The 15,974-nt window shown below is 56.0% G+C and overlaps 1 protein-coding gene across 7 annotated transcripts in view, besides 9 other annotated features; it reads left to right on the top strand.

The window, feature by feature from the left end:
- The window catches only part of CUEDC1 (CUE domain containing 1), a 94,170-nt gene extending 80,139 nt beyond the window's left edge, over positions 1-14,031 (top strand). For 5 of the 7 annotated variants that reach the window (NM_001271875.2, XM_017024641.3, XM_047436060.1 and 2 more), the window contains 8 exons: positions 1,557-1,683; positions 2,419-2,611; positions 3,905-3,988; positions 6,081-6,152; positions 7,031-7,124; positions 7,859-7,917; positions 8,730-8,800; positions 11,989-14,031. In NM_001271875.2, the coding sequence (NP_001258804.1) occupies positions 1,557-1,683; positions 2,419-2,611; positions 3,905-3,988; positions 6,081-6,152; positions 7,031-7,124; positions 7,859-7,917; positions 8,730-8,797 (697 nt within the window). In that variant the 3' untranslated portion in view covers positions 8,798-8,800; positions 11,989-14,031. Of the gene's footprint in view, positions 1-1,556; positions 1,684-2,418; positions 2,612-3,904; positions 3,989-6,080; positions 6,153-7,030; positions 7,125-7,581; positions 7,652-7,858; positions 7,937-8,729; positions 8,801-11,988 lie in introns of those variants that run through there. The other 2 variants (XR_934459.4, XR_934460.4) reach the window with 2 other exon arrangements.
- Positions 228-869: an enhancer, noted in NCBI's record as "H3K27ac-H3K4me1 hESC enhancer chr17:55951766-55952407 (GRCh37/hg19 assembly coordinates)". NCBI's record gives its function as "activates a minimal SCP1, AML or CMV promoter by ChIP-STARR-seq in naive H9 embryonic stem cells {active_cell/tissue: H9 hESC(naive)}" and the evidence as "EXISTENCE:reporter gene assay evidence [ECO:0000049][PMID:30033119]".
- Positions 870-1,510: an enhancer, noted in NCBI's record as "H3K27ac-H3K4me1 hESC enhancer chr17:55951125-55951765 (GRCh37/hg19 assembly coordinates)". NCBI's record gives its function as "activates a minimal SCP1, AML or CMV promoter by ChIP-STARR-seq in naive H9 embryonic stem cells {active_cell/tissue: H9 hESC(naive)}" and the evidence as "EXISTENCE:reporter gene assay evidence [ECO:0000049][PMID:30033119]".
- Positions 6,003-6,643: an enhancer, noted in NCBI's record as "H3K27ac-H3K4me1 hESC enhancer chr17:55945992-55946632 (GRCh37/hg19 assembly coordinates)". NCBI's record gives its function as "activates a minimal SCP1, AML or CMV promoter by ChIP-STARR-seq in naive H9 embryonic stem cells {active_cell/tissue: H9 hESC(naive)}" and the evidence as "EXISTENCE:reporter gene assay evidence [ECO:0000049][PMID:30033119]".
- Positions 6,003-7,360: a biological region, named in NCBI's record as "MED14-independent group 3 enhancer GRCh37_chr17:55945275-55946474".
- Positions 6,161-7,360: an enhancer, noted in NCBI's record as "MED14-independent group 3 enhancer chr17:55945275-55946474 (GRCh37/hg19 assembly coordinates)". NCBI's record gives its function as "activates an origin of replication core promoter dependent on BRD2, BRD4, P300/CBP and CDK7 cofactors, and independent of MED14, by STARR-seq in HCT116 cells {active_cell/tissue: HCT116}" and the evidence as "EXISTENCE:reporter gene assay evidence [ECO:0000049][PMID:35650434]".
- Positions 7,058-7,147: an enhancer, noted in NCBI's record as "active region_12448". NCBI's record gives its function as "activates an Ori minimal core promoter by ATAC-STARR-seq in GM12878 lymphoblastoid cells {active_cell/tissue: GM12878}" and the evidence as "EXISTENCE:reporter gene assay evidence [ECO:0000049][PMID:35858748]".
- Positions 12,363-13,212: an enhancer, noted in NCBI's record as "H3K4me1 hESC enhancer chr17:55939423-55940272 (GRCh37/hg19 assembly coordinates)". NCBI's record gives its function as "activates a minimal SCP1, AML or CMV promoter by ChIP-STARR-seq in naive H9 embryonic stem cells {active_cell/tissue: H9 hESC(naive)}" and the evidence as "EXISTENCE:reporter gene assay evidence [ECO:0000049][PMID:30033119]".
- Positions 13,213-14,062: an enhancer, noted in NCBI's record as "H3K4me1 hESC enhancer chr17:55938573-55939422 (GRCh37/hg19 assembly coordinates)". NCBI's record gives its function as "activates a minimal SCP1, AML or CMV promoter by ChIP-STARR-seq in naive H9 embryonic stem cells {active_cell/tissue: H9 hESC(naive)}" and the evidence as "EXISTENCE:reporter gene assay evidence [ECO:0000049][PMID:30033119]".
- Positions 14,063-14,913: an enhancer, noted in NCBI's record as "H3K4me1 hESC enhancer chr17:55937722-55938572 (GRCh37/hg19 assembly coordinates)". NCBI's record gives its function as "activates a minimal SCP1, AML or CMV promoter by ChIP-STARR-seq in primed H9 embryonic stem cells {active_cell/tissue: H9 hESC(primed)}" and the evidence as "EXISTENCE:reporter gene assay evidence [ECO:0000049][PMID:30033119]".

Below are 15,974 nucleotides of genomic sequence, written 5' to 3'. Positions count from 1 at the left end.
TTAAATTGGGGGTGGGCACCCATGTCCCAGATGAAGACCCTGAGACCTCAAGAACTGGTAATACCCCTGGCGAGGGTCCCTCCCTGCTGTAGCCTGGGGTGGTCTGCGAGTCCCTTAGAGATGAGGCTTCCTCTCTCCCCATCTCTGGCCTTTGGAGAAAAATGAAGCCTCCAACAGTGACAGAAGGTGGCAGTGATGTAGAAAAAAATTTGGCCTAGGAATGGGAGTCCCGGGTTGTGATGCAAGCTGCTCTCCAGACCATTCCCTCTCCCCCTGTGTCTGTGCAGGGAGAGGGTGGACGAGGCGTGCTGGGGTTCCCTTGGCTCCAGTCTGCAAGAGCTGAGCTCCCACCAGGCACTTAGCAGCTGGTTATCCCTTCTGCTGCCGCCCCCGCCCCTTCCCCTCGCCCCCGCCGCCGGCCACCCGCCCGAAATAGAAAAGGAAAGGAAGTTATTTCCATAGTCAGCGGCAGCCCGGAAAAGCTCCCCTCCAGTGAGGGGGCGGGCGGGATTCCTAGAGCTGAAGACCAAATCAAAGCCAGGCCCGAGAGCTAGAGCAGCCCCCACCGCCCGGCCCTCGGCTGCCTTCTCAGTGTGCCGTTTTCCTGATTCAGCGGAACACGTGTCCTGCGGTTGCCACGCTGCAGGCTGCCATGGAGCTGTGGGGACCTCCTGGCCGGGCTCCGAGCTGCCCTCAGGCCCAGGGCGGTAGGGCGGGAGCCTGGGGGTCAGGGAGGGTGTGTGCCACCCCCTCTTCCTCTACTGCCTTGCCCAGCTGTTGGCTCTGCCATGGCACAGAGCTCCTGCCACACACACAACGGGCCTGGAAAGAGCGGCCCCAGAGCACCCTGAGAGCGAGATCCCTTCCACACTCACATCTCCACGCACGTTTTCAGAACATTGCTCAGGACACGGCCTCCTGAGGGGCTCCCCAGCACCTGGGCAGGGAGGCAGCAGTTTCTAGATAAGGAAACCGAGCCCTAGAGGGAACAGGGGCCCACCTAAGACTACCCTGCCGGCTGGTGGTTGAGCCAGAACTGGAGCTCAGATCTGCTTTACCCTCTGTAGGGATCCTGGCGTCCCCATATGCCCCTTCCTCAGCAAACCAGCATGCAGCAGGCTGTGCTGTTGGTGGCTTATGTGTCTGTTCCTTTGGACCATACCTGTCACTCAGCACCATGAGCCTGGCACTGTGTAGGTGCTAGGATAGAAGCATGAAAGGATGCGATCCCTGCTGTCTTTAGGGGACATTTGTAAACATCTATGGCTAAATCCACAGAGTTCCACATGTGCACCGTGGACAGACAGCTCTGTAGGTCCAGAGACCTGGAAGGGCACTGAGTGACTGGAGAGCATGAATGGCTGGGGAGTTCGCTGAGGCTGGTGGAGACATCTCCAGTGATGAGACAGAGTGACGGGCCTTTGTTCTGGAGGCAGTGGAGGCCATGGGAATCTCTGAGCAGGATCCGACCTGCCTGAGGACCTGGTGTGATGGGGCCAGGAGACCTGGGGTTGGGCTTAATGACTTCCTCTTCCCTGTCACCTGCCATCCCCTAGTATCGACGCGCTGGGCTCTGGAGCCCCTACAAGCCAGAGACGCTATCGGAACTGGAACCCACCACTGCTGGGCAACCTTCCGGATGACTTTCTCCGCATCCTGCCCCAGCAGCTGGACAGCATACAGGTAACAGGGGCCGCCCCCGCCTTCCACTCCCACCTGCTTGTCCAGCATCTCTCTTTGCCCACACAATTTGTGCCAGCCAGTTTTACTTCCTGATGTTTAAACCCAGGCTGAGCTATTTCTGTTGCCCTGGGTTCGTAGGGCAGGAATGCTGAACTGAAAGCCTCACTTCCTGCCTGGGCCTGGAGGTTTCCTGTTCTATCCAGGGAAGGTGACAGCCTAAGGAGGCTGTCTGCTGCAGCAGTCACCTCAGGCTGGAGAGAGGCGGGCATGGGGTGGCCAATGGTGGAGGGCCAGAGCACCCCCCTTCCTCCCTTGGGAAAGGGCCAGAGGCTGCTTCTTGCTAGATGTTGGCATGCCCCAAGGTGCCCCACAGCGGGGCAGGTCCACCCTGAGGCTGCTGGTGCAGGGAGAGGGTTGAGTTTGGGAATTGACGTATAGGCTGTTCCACAGTCTGCAGATTTGTTTTCAGGACTGTTCAGGTTGTAGATGAAGGTATGAGGTGGTCTGTGGCGTGGGGGAAAAATAGTTTTTAGGCTACTGCTGTGTCCCCTGCAGCAATGGCTCTGACCTGTCCGTTGGATTTTGGCTCGCAACCAGGTTCCATTAGGAGGTGTGAGCCTCAGGTGAGGGCTGGAGGATGTTGGACAGGGCATGTGTGCAACCAGAGGGATGTGGACGTTTGTGCAACATGTACCCTTGTGTGTACACATTCAACATGCTCGCTTCCCTCCTCAGGGTAACGCTGGGGGCCCCAAGCCTGGGAGTGGAGAGGGATGTCCACCTGCCATGGCTGGGCCAGGGCCCGGAGACCAGGAGAGCCGCTGGAAGCAGTACCTGGAGGACGAGAGGATCGCGCTTTTCCTGCAGAACGAGGAGTTCATGAAGGAGCTGCAACGGAACCGCGACTTCCTCCTCGCTCTGGAGAGAGGTGGGCAGCGCCTGCAGCCACTTCTCCCTGGCTGAAGAAGGGAGGTGATGCTGGCTTTAGCCTTGGGGCTCAGGAAAACACTGAGCTGGGGGCTGAGGGGGCCAGGTGCTTTCTGTCCTATTGAGGCATGACTCCCACCAAGTTATCCCATGGGAGCCTCAGAATTCTGCCTATGGGGACCTGGGTCACTAGCCCACCCCTTTCTCCCTCGGGACTCAGAGGAAGAAGGATGTGCACTCTTAGGCCTTCTTCCCTTTGCACACCTGCTCTGTGCCAGGCACTGGCCTTGGCACAAGGCAGCAGGGAGAAGAGCACTGCCCCTCCTCACAGAGCCCCAGCCCCAAGGCAGGCGTGATGTGTCTGGAGCTCCGGAAACAGAACGACTGGGTTCATGAAGGCCAGGGCGGGGGAGGCTCTTGAGTGGAAGACTTTAGAGCAGGGGCTCTGGAACTTTGCAGGTATTTGGGTTGTCTCTGGGTTGGAGACCCTGCTCCCTAGCCTGGCTGCCTTTCCCCTGCAGGGTGGGAGTGCGTTTGGGGTAGAGGAGACGAGAGGGCTGTGGAGCTCTGTCCCTGTGACGGCCACAGCGTGAGAGCTTGTGTGTGTAACTGATGGTGTGTTGGTGGGGGAGGAGCAAGTTGTGGAGGGAGAAGGCTGGGCTGAGGCCCAAGGTTAGCCCCAGCTCTGCAGCAAAGGTGCTAGAAGCCTCAAGGCTTTTCCGTTTATTTTTTATTTTTTGAGACATAGTCTCGCTCTTGTCACCCAGGCTGAAGTGCAGTGGCTCAATCTCGGCTCACTGCAACCTCCGCCTCCCAGGTTCAAGTGTTTCTCCTGCCTCAGTTTTTCAAGTAGCTGGGATTATAGGCGCACGCCACCGCACCTGGCTGATTTTTGTATTTTTAGTAGAGACGGGGTTTCACCATGTTGGCCAGGCTGGTCTCGAACTCCTGACCTCAGGTGATCTGCCTGCCTTAGCCTTCCAGTGTGCTGGAATTACAGGCATGAGCCACCATCCCTGGCCGTGCCTTTCTTTTTAAATGAGGGGGTTTGGACTCTACAGTCTCTCTGAGTCCTTTTAATTCTGACATTTGAGATGGCTGTCAGGCGGTAGTTTCTTTTACTGCTGGTTCTTTGAGAGCTGGTAGATGTGTGCACTCATATTTTGGGTGCCCGTGTGTGCTCATGTGTGATTCTGGGGACTTAGCCTCTAGCAAACTACCGTGTCCCAGCCCAGCCTGCCCCTGGGAGCCCAGGAGCTAACCTCCCTGACCTGTGAATGTGGTCCTTTTCCAGATCGATTGAAATACGAATCCCAGAAATCTAAATCCAGCAGCGTGGCTGTCGGAAACGACTTTGGCTTTTCCTCTCCTGTCCCAGGTAACTTTGCCTTCTGGGGAAGAAAACCTAGAGGCATAGTGGGGAGCTCACACCCAACTTTGCTTTGCATATTTGGAGTTTGAGAGGAGGGTGAAAAAACAGATTGTGGGAGGGGGCCTGGGCCTCCTCAGCAGGCTGGCGGGGCTGCTTCTGCCCCCATCTCCATATCCAGTCCATTTAGCAGCTCTGGGGTCTTTCCAATCCAGCCACTGCTGGGCTTCAGAGCCCACAGTTGTGTTCAAGTAACATAGGCTGGCTGAACTCTCAACCTATGCCTCGAGTGTAGGCTAGTCAATGACACATGGCCAGGTGCGGTGGCTCACGCCTATAATCCCAACACTTTGAGAGGCCGAGGAGAGTGGATTGCTTCAGCCCAAGAGTTCAAGACCAGCCTGGGCAACAAAATGAGACCCCCCTATCTCTACCAAAAAAGTACTAAAAATTAGCTGGGCATATTGGCCTGTGCTTCTAGTCCCAGCTACTCAGGAGGCTGAGGTGGGAGGATCACTTGAGCCCAGGAGGTTGAGGCTGCAGTGAGCTGTGATTATGCCACTGCACTCCAGCTTGAGTGACAGAGTGAGACCCTGTCTCCAAAAAAAAAAAAAAGAAGAAAAGGACCCCAAAATGCCCCGTGGTGGGGCTCAGAGACTCATAAGTCTTGGTCTGTGTCCTGGGGAAGCTTATGGTCTTGTAAGGAGAAATGCCCAGAAAACAGGTAGAACAAACTAGCAAAGCTGAGGACTTACTGATTTTAGCAAATGCATGGGAAAAAAGGAGGGCAGGATTAATCTGGGGAGTTTACTCATTCATTCATGACATAGCTGGAGAATATCTGCCATCTGTTGGGCCTTGCCCTAGGTGTTGGAGGAAGAGGAATTTCTAGCTTTGTGTACAAGGTGGTGGGAAGTAAGAATTGCCTGTAAAGAGGGCCAGGCCCTTCTGCTCAGAAGCTCTGATGGCTGAAAGAGGGTTGGATAGGGGTGAGGGGGCTGCAGTGCTCCTGGGATGCGCAGACTACTGGGTTGAGCCACAGCTGGGAACGATGACCTGGTGCCTGTGTGCGAACAGTGGCCCCTCATCAGTCAGTGCCCCCTGCCCCACATGTACACAAGCTGCCCACCTCGGAGAAGGGCTCTTGCCTGGAATAGACCTTGCATCATGCAGTGGAGTTGGGGGTGGAGGAGCAGAGGGATGGGGAGCTGAGCTGATCCCAGCTTGAAGGGAGAAAATCCTGTGGAACTGACTCATAAGCAGCAGGCTGGGAGCTTAGGGCTCAGCAGATGTGCAGCTGGGAGTTTTAAGCAGGAGCCTCTTGTCCTTGATCCTGAATTAACTAGAGATACCGGGGCTGCTGAGATGGATCAGAATGACTCAAAGGGGACTTAGCAGGCAAGGTGACTGGGGATTAACCAAGTTGCAGGACAGAGAGCAGGGGCTTCAGAAACCAGCAAAAAACCCAAGTGGATGCTGAGCGAGCCCGGGAGACTCTGGGTGGCCGGTGGGGTTCTGACTCCAGGACTAGTCCCATTCTATTCCTACTCATTGTCTAATAGCCAGAAACCCTGTGGCTGGGAGGGAGCAATGGATGGGCTTACCTGGCAGGAAGGACAAGGGACTTGCTACAGGTGAATGCCGGCTCTGAGCCAGCACCTCATTTGACTGTCACATGAATGTCGGGGTGCAGGAGGCCCCTGGTGTGCTGGTGAATGTTTCACAGCCAACTCTGGGTGCAGCGGGAGCCTGATATGTAGTGCTTGGTGACCTCCATGGTGGAAATACTCCCAAGCTACCAAGGTGATGTCATGAAACATGGAGTTGGTCAGAGGCGTGGACAGTTGGGAGCACACACGAGCTGGCTGTCTGCACACACAGTAGACCGCTGAACCCTCCCCATTTTTACAGAGGAGGAAACAAAGTCCACAAGGGGAAAGAGGAGCTCCTGGAACTCCACATCCTCCTTGCTTTAAACTCCCTTCTGGCCAGGGAAGAAGCCTGCTCTTTCTTTGCATTTGTCCTCAGATGGGTGGGTAGGGCTGGGACAGCGGCCATGGCTGGCCACGGTGGCCGGCCTTCAGCAGGTGTCTCCTTCCAGGAACTGGCGACGCCAACCCCGCTGTGTCTGAAGATGCCTTATTCAGGGACAAGCTGAAACACATGGGAAAGTGTGAGTCCCACTCAGGCCCCGCTTCCCTCCCCAGCTTTTCTGAGACAGGCCCTGTGGCCTCCCAGGAGTGAGGGAGCCCCTCAGCACATGTAATGCAGCTGACTCTTGGTGAACCAGTGACATTTTCATCGCAGGCTGGCTCCCTCAGCCTTCCTGCCTCACTTCCCTCTACAGCTGAGTCTAGATACAAATTAAGTTTTAAATCCTCTTGAGCCAGATGTCTGCAGAAAAATAACGTGCCACACATGCCCTCACCGCAATCCTCATGTTCACGTTCTCTGTGGCTCGAGGAGGCTTGGCCGGAGCTGACTGCACAGAGAGGCCCTTGCTAAGCCTCTGTGGGGGTGGGGGACCTCTTTCCACAAAGTCCTACCAGCCTTGAATGCCCCCTTCCCTCCCCCTCACCTCCCCGCCACACAGACCCACAGCCATGTGTGAATGAGGCTGCGATCCTTTCAGGCTCCATTTCAAGGAAAATCTCGGATTAGTCATGGAAATCCCAGAACCAACTTTGGAGGTGGCTAGGGGAGGGGCGGGAAGGCGGTGGCGGCGGGAAAGCGAGCCAAGATGCGTTGCAGTGTGTTGCAGCTGGGGAGGGAATACTTGGATCTTGAGCCGCCTGCGGTCCCTGGGCCTGGCTCAGGGTGTCCTGTGCTGCCCCTGCAGGCTGACCCAGGATGTAGCCTCTTGCTCCTGGGGTGGCGTCCTCAGGGGTCTGCGATTCCTGTCATCTCTCCCTCCTCAGCTCCCACCCTTGCCTGCCCCCTGCTCCCTCTCCGGGGGGCCTTGGTCCTCCCCTGGCCTTTCCCACACCTGGGAGGAGGCCATCTGGTGTGCTGGCTGCTGAGAGAATGACTCACAGGTCTCTCTGCCCCCAGCCACCCGGAGGAAACTGTTTGAACTTGCCCGAGCCTTCTCAGAGAAGACCAAAATGAGGAAGTCAAAGAGGAAACACTTGTTGAAGCATCAGTCGTATCCTTTCCAGCCTGGCACTGGTGGGGGTGGTGGAAGCCAAGGGCCATGGAGCAAGACCCCTGTTGGACTCCCTGCAGCTGTGCCCTCCCCTGGGAGTGGAACCCGGCTCTGTGGCCTTCCCTTCCTCCTCCCCTCTCCTCCATGAGCTTGGCCACCAGTCCACTGCCCGTCTCTCGTTGCCAACCAGGGACCAGGCCTAGGGAGCAGGGCAGCAGCTCCTGTCTCCCTTCTGTAGGCCCAGAAGTTGTCCTATTAACTTTTTTTTTGGTCTGAGGTTATGTACTTCTTGGGAGAAAAAGTGGTTCTTCCATCAATATCAAACCTTCCCTTCATTTCTCTAGTTGAACTGGTGCACGAGTCCTCCTCACTCCAAGCATGTTGGCCCTCCCTTCCTCGAGTAGAAATACGGCTTTCCACCTTTTTATCAGAACTCCTATTCATGCTTCTCAAACAGGGCCTAGGATAGCAGAGGCTCAGCAGCCAGAGGGAAACAGGGAGGAAGCTGTTTCTCCATCCCCAGAGATGTAAGCTGGGCGAGAGTGTCAGGGCCTGGCCATACCACTGACCTCAGGAAAATGAGCCTGGGGGACAGTACTAAGGGTGTGGGGGGTCAGGTGGGTGTGTCAGGTACCTCCAGAGCTTTGAGGGGTGGGGCAGAGAGTCAGTGGGACTGGGAGGACTAGGGCAGTGTCCCCTCATCCCTGGGACGGTTTTCCTGAATGGCCTGGCAGGCTGGGGGCTGCCGCGTCAACAGCCAACCTCCTGGATGATGTGGAGGGCCACGCGTGTGGTGAGGCTGGAGGGGAGTCGTAAGCTCCAACTTCTCTATGATCGGTGATCTCCCAGCGGAGTTCCTGGGTGTTTCATGGGAGCACCCGCCCTGTCCCCTGGAGGAACACACTGAGGGTTGGTGGGCAGGTGACCCAAAGATATGGATCCCCCTGACTTGGTCGACATTGCTTCCCCCTTTCTGCAACCCCTGAAAAGGGGCCCTAGCCCTACTTCCACCTAGATGTGTACCTGTAGCATGAAGTGCCAGGTACTGTTTCTGGGGAATATTCTTTTGGGTGTGAGGTGGCAGACAGGCCTGCCCCCATGGGGGACCCTCGGCCTGAGAACCAAGCACTGGGCAGCTTCAGTCTGTGGGCCCAGAGGCTTCTCAACTTTCACCCAGTCCCTTCCAAAGGCCACGTGGGCCAGAAGACTCTGCCTCAGACCCTCCTGGGCCCGCAGCTGAACCCTGATCCTCATGCCACATTCGAGGGTCAGGAGGCATCCAGAAACAAGGACTGGAAGGGCCTCAGAGGTCATCTAGATAGTCCAGCTTTTCCATCCCATTTTATAGATGAGGAAATTTGAGGCCCAAAGACGAGGGGAGAACTTGTCCAAGGTCTCAGAGCTCAGTGGTGGACCCTGGCCAGCACCTGAGTGTCCTGCTGCCTCTCTCCCTGGACCCATGCATCGTCTACCTGGGGGGATCTGCATGGGTCCCAAATGAAGGGGGCAGAGAGAGTCGGGTCAGCTCTCTTGCCCAGTCTAGGGGCCGTGCCTGAGCGAGGCCCTGCAGGGTAGAGGATGAGGCAGCTTCCCTCTCCTTTTCAGATGAAGACTTCCGGGGCAGGCGTCAGGAGGCACCCAAGGTGGAGGAAGGCCTGCGAGAAGGACAGTAAGAGGTAAGGCCTGGAGCCATAGCAACCCAGGGACTGCCCAAGGCCAGGGCCCCCCACACTATGCACCCCACATGTCCTCCCAGGTGTCCAGAGGCGCTGGGCTCAGGCAACTGGGTAGCACAGGCCCCACGTGTCTTCCCTCATAGTTGCGGCAGGGACACGGGCGTGGGAACTAGTTCATTGCATGTCTTTTTTGGTTATTTATTCATTTGACAAAAGATGAGCACACCTGCCTATGACAGATGCTGAGAACAGGAAAACAAAATCAGCTTTGACCTTGAAGAGTTTACAGTCCAGTTGAGAAGACAGTCCAGGACACACGTAGCACACTGAGAGGATGATTTAAGAAAAACTGGCTGGGCACGGTGTCCCATGCCTGTAATCCCAGCACTTTGGGAGGCCAAGGTGGGTGGATCAGCTGAGGTCAGGAGTTCGAGACCAGCCTGGCCAACATGGTGAAACCCTGTCTCTGCTAAAAATACAAAAATTAGCCTGGCGTGGTGGCAAGCGCCTGTAATCCCAGCTACTTGGGAGGCTGAGGCAGGAGAATCACTTGAATCTGGGAGGCGGAGGTGGCAGTGAGCTGAGATCGCGCCATTGCACACCAGCCTGGGCGACAAGAGTGAAACTTCATCTCAAAAAAAAAAAAAAAAGAAAAAGAAAAACTGAGGTGGTCTCAACCCGGCTGTGCACACACACAACTCTCTCCAGCCCCCTGCTTGGGTTGGGTGGGCTGGGATCTGCCACACCAGGATGAGGAAACCCTCCTGAGGCAGCGGTTTCTGGCTGAAGCCCCAGGGCTCCAAGCCATTTCTCCTCCTCGCTTCCTGTGCACCCTCTTGGGGAGAAAAAGAAAATACCAAGGCCTCCTCCAGGAGTTGGCCAAGACAGCTGTCCCTTTTCCAGCCCCCGTTTACCATGGGAGAGGGGAAGCTGCCCGGCCTTCCCCAGCCACTTGTTTGGTCCCAGTGGGCAGCATCTACAAGGCTTTCTTGAGTTGATGGTGTGGCAGGTATGGCCCTGTGTCAGACGATGGAGAAATACTCACTTGCCTCAGGATAGTCACAATGGAGGGAAACCGGGAACAAGTAAATACAAGTGCCCTCTCCTCTCTGCCTGGGCAGCTGGCCCCCACACCCACTCCACCTGACTCCCTACCACATCTCCCACCAGGCACTGCAGCCCCTTCTATTCCCCTCAGGCTTTCCTCAAACACAAAGCCGCGGCCCACTTCCCACTGTCCTGGAATGCCCAGATAGAGCCTGCCGGGGAATCGCCTCCACTGTCACCCCACGCTGCTACTATCTCCACGCCCTTCTCCTTCCTACTGGTCCCCAGGGAGAACGGGTCCTGTCCAAACCACCCCTACATCAGAAACTTGCTCATCATTCATTCATTCATTCATTCATTCATTCATTTTGAGACAGAGTCTCGCTCTGTTGCCCAGGCTGGAGTGCAGTGGCACAATCTTGGCTCATTGCAACCTTCACCTCTCAGGTTCAAGCGATTCTCCTGCCTCAGCCTCCCGAGTAGCTGGGATTATAGGCACCCACTATCTTGCCTGGCTAATTTGTTTTTGTATTTTTAGTAGAGATGGATTTTTGCCATGTGGCCAGGCTGGTTTCGAACATCTGACCCCAGGTGACCTGCCCGCCTGGACCTCCCAAAGTGCTAGGATTACAGGTGTGAGCCACCGTACCTGCACCTCATCATTTATTTCTGTCCTAGGACTTCCAGCTTGTCCCCTTCCAGCTCCTTCTGCAAGTTGACATCCTCCTCCTCCTCCCCTTAAACACCAAGGGTCCTTGAGTCTTCCCTGCCATCCTCCTTCATCCACTGCAGGCTGACAGCCCCTCCCATCACTCGGATTGACTCGGAGGTCACCCAGCAGCTCAGGGCCTTAGCATCTTCTGCATTCTTATGGTGCTCTTCCACACGCACTCCCCTGATCTCTCCTGAAGCTGCCCTCCCTTGGCTCCTGTGACCCCAGGAAGCCAGGTTCTCCTTCCTCTCTCCTGGCTCCTGTTGCTCCGCCCACTCCCTAAATACTGGCTCTCCTTGTTGCTCTGCCCTTGACCCTCTTCGAAGTCTTCTCACTGCCCACTCTGGCAGTGCCTCCGCCCTCTTTTATAGCACCAGCAACACTTCTGCGCATCTGGCTCCTACATCTGAATCTCCATCGCAGTTAGGCTTCCAGAGCTGCTTCGTGTCCCCAGCTGCACCCAAGATTTTCTTTTCAGCCTTGGATAGCAACTCAGTCTCTCCTCCTGACTGCCCCCTTTCATTCTCTTTTCTATTCCTTCCATTACCACCCTGATAGATGCTCATCACCTAGGTCACAGCCCTGTTCTCTTCACTGCCCCTACCTACTCTGATTATCCCACCACCAAAACACCACTTTAGTTCCATTTTTCCTGTGCTCTTTGAATGAATCTTTTTTTTTCTTTTTCTTTTCTTTCTTTTTTTTTTTTTTTTTGAGATGGAGTCTCGCTCTGTTGCCCAGGCTAGAGTGCAGTGGTGCAATCTCCACTCACTGCAACCTCCCCTTCTCAAGTTCAAGCCATTCTCCTGCCTCAGCCTCCCGAGTAGCTGGGATTACAGGCACGTGCCACCCCGCCCGGCTAATTTTTGTATTTTTAGTAGAGACGGGGTTTCACCATGCTGGTTAGGCTGGTCTTAAACCCCTGACCTCGGCCCGCCTCAGCCTCCCAAAGTGCTGAGATTACAGGCGTGAGCCACTGCGCCTGGCCTGAATGAGTCTTCTGAGTAAAGTCTTAGGAACTCTTCAGCCTGGTGTCTGAGTCCTACCAAGTTCTGCCCCCAGTTTACTTTTCTCCACCTACAGGTCTTTGTGGCCTAGCTCCCCTGAGCTATGACGTATTAGAATGGGCCAGGTACCCTCCCACGTTGAAGCCCTCCCCTACAGCTGCTTCACCCCGGGATTCCATTCCTTCACTCCATCTCCTGCTGCCAGAGTCCCTGCAGCTGGGCAAGCTGGAATGGTTCTAGGAATTTGAATGGGGGGATGACCCAGGCAGAGTTCTACGGTTGACCTCGAGTCCCTGGAAAAAGGAGAGGGCTTACGTCTTTAGTAACTTCTCCCAAAACTGTCTCTCCAGGAACCAGTGACCAGGAAAGACCATTGGGCTCCTTTGAAAAAGATTCCTCCCATCCCTTTTTTCCCCTACCAGATGCCAGCAGCTCTTCCTTGCCAGAGATGATCTGACCCGGTGGGGGCAGCTGGAAAGCAACACTGGCCCCCAGCTGAAGGGCCCAGCTGCAGCCAGACAGATGGTGCTTGAGAACCGAGGCCCGGTGATCCTCCAGCCACAGTCCAGCCCAACCACTGCCACTTTCCATGGGACTTAGAACTTCGGAGTTGCTGCCTTGCAATTGGAGGAAGGACCTGGGGCCCCTATAGGCAGCAGCCAATTACAGCCCCTTTTGTAGCCAGGCGTTCCTATGGTCAAAGAGTGGAAATGCAGGAACCAACCTCCCTTTAAAAAAAAAAAAATCCAGAAAGCAGATAAAAGTTGGAATATGGAAAAGGGCAAGATGACCCCCACCAGAGGCTCTTTGGCCTGAAGGTGGAGTCTCTGCCTCCGTCCGTTCTCTATCTCTCCTGTCACAGACTCTGCCTGACCCCCTTTCCTCAGCTCCCTTCTGGTCCCCCTTCCTCAGCTCCCTCCGGGCACTTGTGCCCTTCCCTTCCATGTCCTCCTGTATCTCAGCCTTCCCCCGGGGCTGCTGGCCCAGCACACGAGCCCTGCACCCAGCCTGGGTGGGAGGTCCCTGGCCAGTCCCCCAGGAACTCTGAGGAGCTATGGGCTACTGCAAAGCATCTGCCGACTGCCCTGCCCCGTCTGGCCTCATCAGGCTGCTGCTGTTAGGGATGGGCTCACTCCCAGCAGCTCCCGGTCACCCAGCAGGGATGGGGAGGGTGGCCACCCTGGAGCTGGAGGACTCTGGGGAGGCAGGGTCTTTAATTTGGCAGCAGACAAAAGCCAGTTCTGGAGTCACACCACAGTAGGGGCTCACAGGGGCTCTGACTCCCCAGCTGGACTGGAAGCCCTGCTGTCCGAGGGTGGGCAGCGGTGGGTCCTGGAGTGACCCCTTTGAGCAGGTGCAGGGCTAAAGAGCAAGGCGGAAAGGCCGCCAGCCTGGGTGAGCGCCTAGGGCATAAGGGCTTGCTGGGTGCCCCTGAGAAGGGCGGGTGATCTGAGGAGGAGAACTCTGATTCTAGGAACGCTTACACGGCACTGACCACTGCCACGGGGAGGGAGGCTGCCCAGCCCGTGGCCCCGCCCTGGACATGGGAGCGCGCAGACCTTCCGGAGAGCCGGGAAGCCTGGGCAGGCACGAGGCTTCGGCGCGGCTCTGGGAGGTTGGGAGTGGCATCCGATCCTTGGCCGGGCCCTGGTGGCCTCCGTGGCCCCAAGATCACAAGGGCGTAGCGAAGGCGAGCCGGCGATCGCACCTCGTCCCGCCCACCCTGCCCGGACTCGCAACGCCGAGCTTGGGGAGGGCCGGGACGCGCAGCCGCCGCCGAGCGTGACCAAGTTTGGAAACGCGCGCGGGGCCGGGACGCTGGCTCGGGGGGCCCTGCCGAGGAGCGGTCGCCCCCTCCGCTGCTCCCCGCGCCAGGCCTGGGGCCCTGGAGGGAGGGGGGGGGGTCTCCGAGGAGTGCCTCGGTACCCCAGCTCGAGTTCTCGACGGGTCTCTGAGCCTTCCCCGCGCCAGGACCCGGCGCACTGTGGGGGAAGCCCCAGCCCCATGTCTGTTGAGTGTTGCTTTGTTATTTTTTTTCCTCCTATGTGTGGGTTTTTTCTTGGAGCTGTTTCATAGGAATTCCTGTAATAAACAGTTGGTGTTCTCTTGGTGCTCTGATGTGGCCAGCGGCGTGGGCTGGACCCTCCTGCTCCCTCCTCCCTCCCGGCCTGGGGCAGGGTTTGTCCCCAGGAGCCCCGCGTCGCATCCCTAGGGTACCCCTGCCTTGCCTGGCCCATTCACCCGCGGCGCTCTCCGACTGCACTCTCGAGGTGACACCTGCGGCACCGCTGCACCTCAACCTTGCGGACCTGCCGGCTGCGTCTAGCGCTGTCGCCTTCCTGTTTGGCCCAGGACTGTAAACCGCTTGCTGTATCAGGCAAGGGAAACACCATGGGGAAAGCCAGTCTGTTGAGAAAGCTCCAGACGGCCACCTCCCTAAATAAACAGCTTCTGGATTAAAGGCAGACTGGAGGTTGCAGGGAAGTGCAATTTCAGACTTCAAAGGGAACTCAGAGATCGCCCCAGTTGATACATCTCTCCTTCCTCCTCCTCCTCCAGCTCAGCAGGACTACCCCGCCCTCCACCACAGGGACAGGGCCCTCGCTGCCAGAAGAGGAAGCTGGTGCCGTTTCCAGACAGGGCAGTTCTCAAGGTCGAAGTTTTTCCTTGTGTTGAGCTAACGGCCTCCTAGGGGTTCCAACCACACATCTTACTCCTGGGCTCTGGGTCACTGTTGCCAAGGCTGCCTCTCTTGCCCCTGATGCCATGTTTCAGCTCAGTGACCTCACCCTCTCTCTTCCCTGACAACAACTGTGCCTCCTGCACTCCTGCAGGGGCCTCCCCACCCATCAGGGTCTGGCCCCACTCCCAGTCAGACCCAGGGGGGCTTGTAAAGTGGCACACCTGGGACAGGGTGACGCTCCACATGAGCTGTCCTGAGCAAACCAGGATTATCCTCCAGCCCTGGTTCTCTGCGTGGTATTCATTGCCTGGGAAGCTGTTCCAAATGCCAATTCTCAGTCCCATCCGAGACCTACTGAGTCAGAAACTCTGGGGGTGCAGCCCAGCAACCTGTGATTCTGATGCACACCACAGTTTGGGAACCATGGTACCAGGCCAGTACCTAGCACTGGCTGCACAGAATTACTTGAGTAGCTTTAAAAAAAATCCTGGCCAAGACCAGGCTCAGTGGCTTACACTTAGAATCCCAGCACTTTGACAGGTCGAGGCAGCAGGATCGCTTGAGGCCAGGAGTTCAAGACCAGCCTGGGCAACGAAGTGAGACCCATCCCCCAACCCCCCACATCTCTACAAAAAAAAAAAAAAAAAAAAAATAGCTGGGTTGGTGGCACACATGTGTAATCCCAGCTACACGGGAGGGTGAGGGGGGAGGATCGCTTGAGCCCAGGAGGTCGAGGCTGCAGTGAGCTGTGATCATGCCACTGCACTCCAGCCTGGGTGACAGAGCAAGACCCTGTCTCAATTAAAAAAATAGATCCTGGCCCGCCCTTGTGGTTCATGCCTGTAATCCCAGCACTTTGGGAGGCCAAAGTGGGAGGATTGTTTGAGGTCAGGAATTTGACATTACAGTGAGCTATAATTGAGCCACCGCACTCCAGCCTGGGTGACAGAGCAAGACCTCATCTCTATTAAAGAAAAAACGTCCTGATGTTCAGTACCGTAGACCAATTAAATCAACTATGGGTTTTTTGTTTGTTTTTTAAAAAAAGCTCCCAAGGTAATTAAATCTGCCGTCAAGCTTGAGGACCAGCCCACTTGGCAATGTGTTAGGTGTTTTAGCTCATTTGATCTTGCCCAATAACGATCACTTTACAGATAGTATAATTACAGTTCAGAGAGGTTAAGTAACTTATCCAAGATCACAGAGCTAGAGTGTCATGAGGCCAGAAAAGGAGGCTGAGGGCTGCCTGACTCCAAAACTTGTGTTGCCTCCTCTACACCCCTGCTGCCCAAAGTGTGCCCTGTGGACCAGCAGCATCGCCATTCCCTGGGAACTTGTTAGGAATGCGTATTATCAGGCCCCATTCCAGATCTGAATCGGAAACTGGCGTGCATTTTAACAAGACCTTCAGATCATTCTGATACATGCTCAAATTTGAGAACCACAGTTCCACAATCTGACCACTCACAGCTTGGTCTATGGACCAGCAACATTCATTATTACCTAGGAGCTTGTTAGAAAAAGAATCTCAGGCTCTGCCCCAGCCTCACTGGATCAGAATTCGCATTTTAACAAGCTCTTCAGGTGACTTCTATGCACATTAAAGCTAGAGAAACACTGCTCTAGAACACTGGTTCTCAAACTTGCTGTACGTTAGAATCATTTCTGATGTGTGGGTCTCATTCCCAGAGATTCTGATTTAATTGGTTTGGGATTTAGCCTGAG

Source organism: Homo sapiens, chromosome 17 (genome assembly GCF_000001405.40).
Source record: "Homo sapiens chromosome 17, GRCh38.p14 Primary Assembly".
In the NCBI taxonomy this organism is placed as follows: Eukaryota; Metazoa; Chordata; class Mammalia; order Primates; family Hominidae; genus Homo; species Homo sapiens.
Note: the sequence above shows the minus strand (reverse complement) of the source record. Positions and strands in the feature narration are given on the sequence as shown.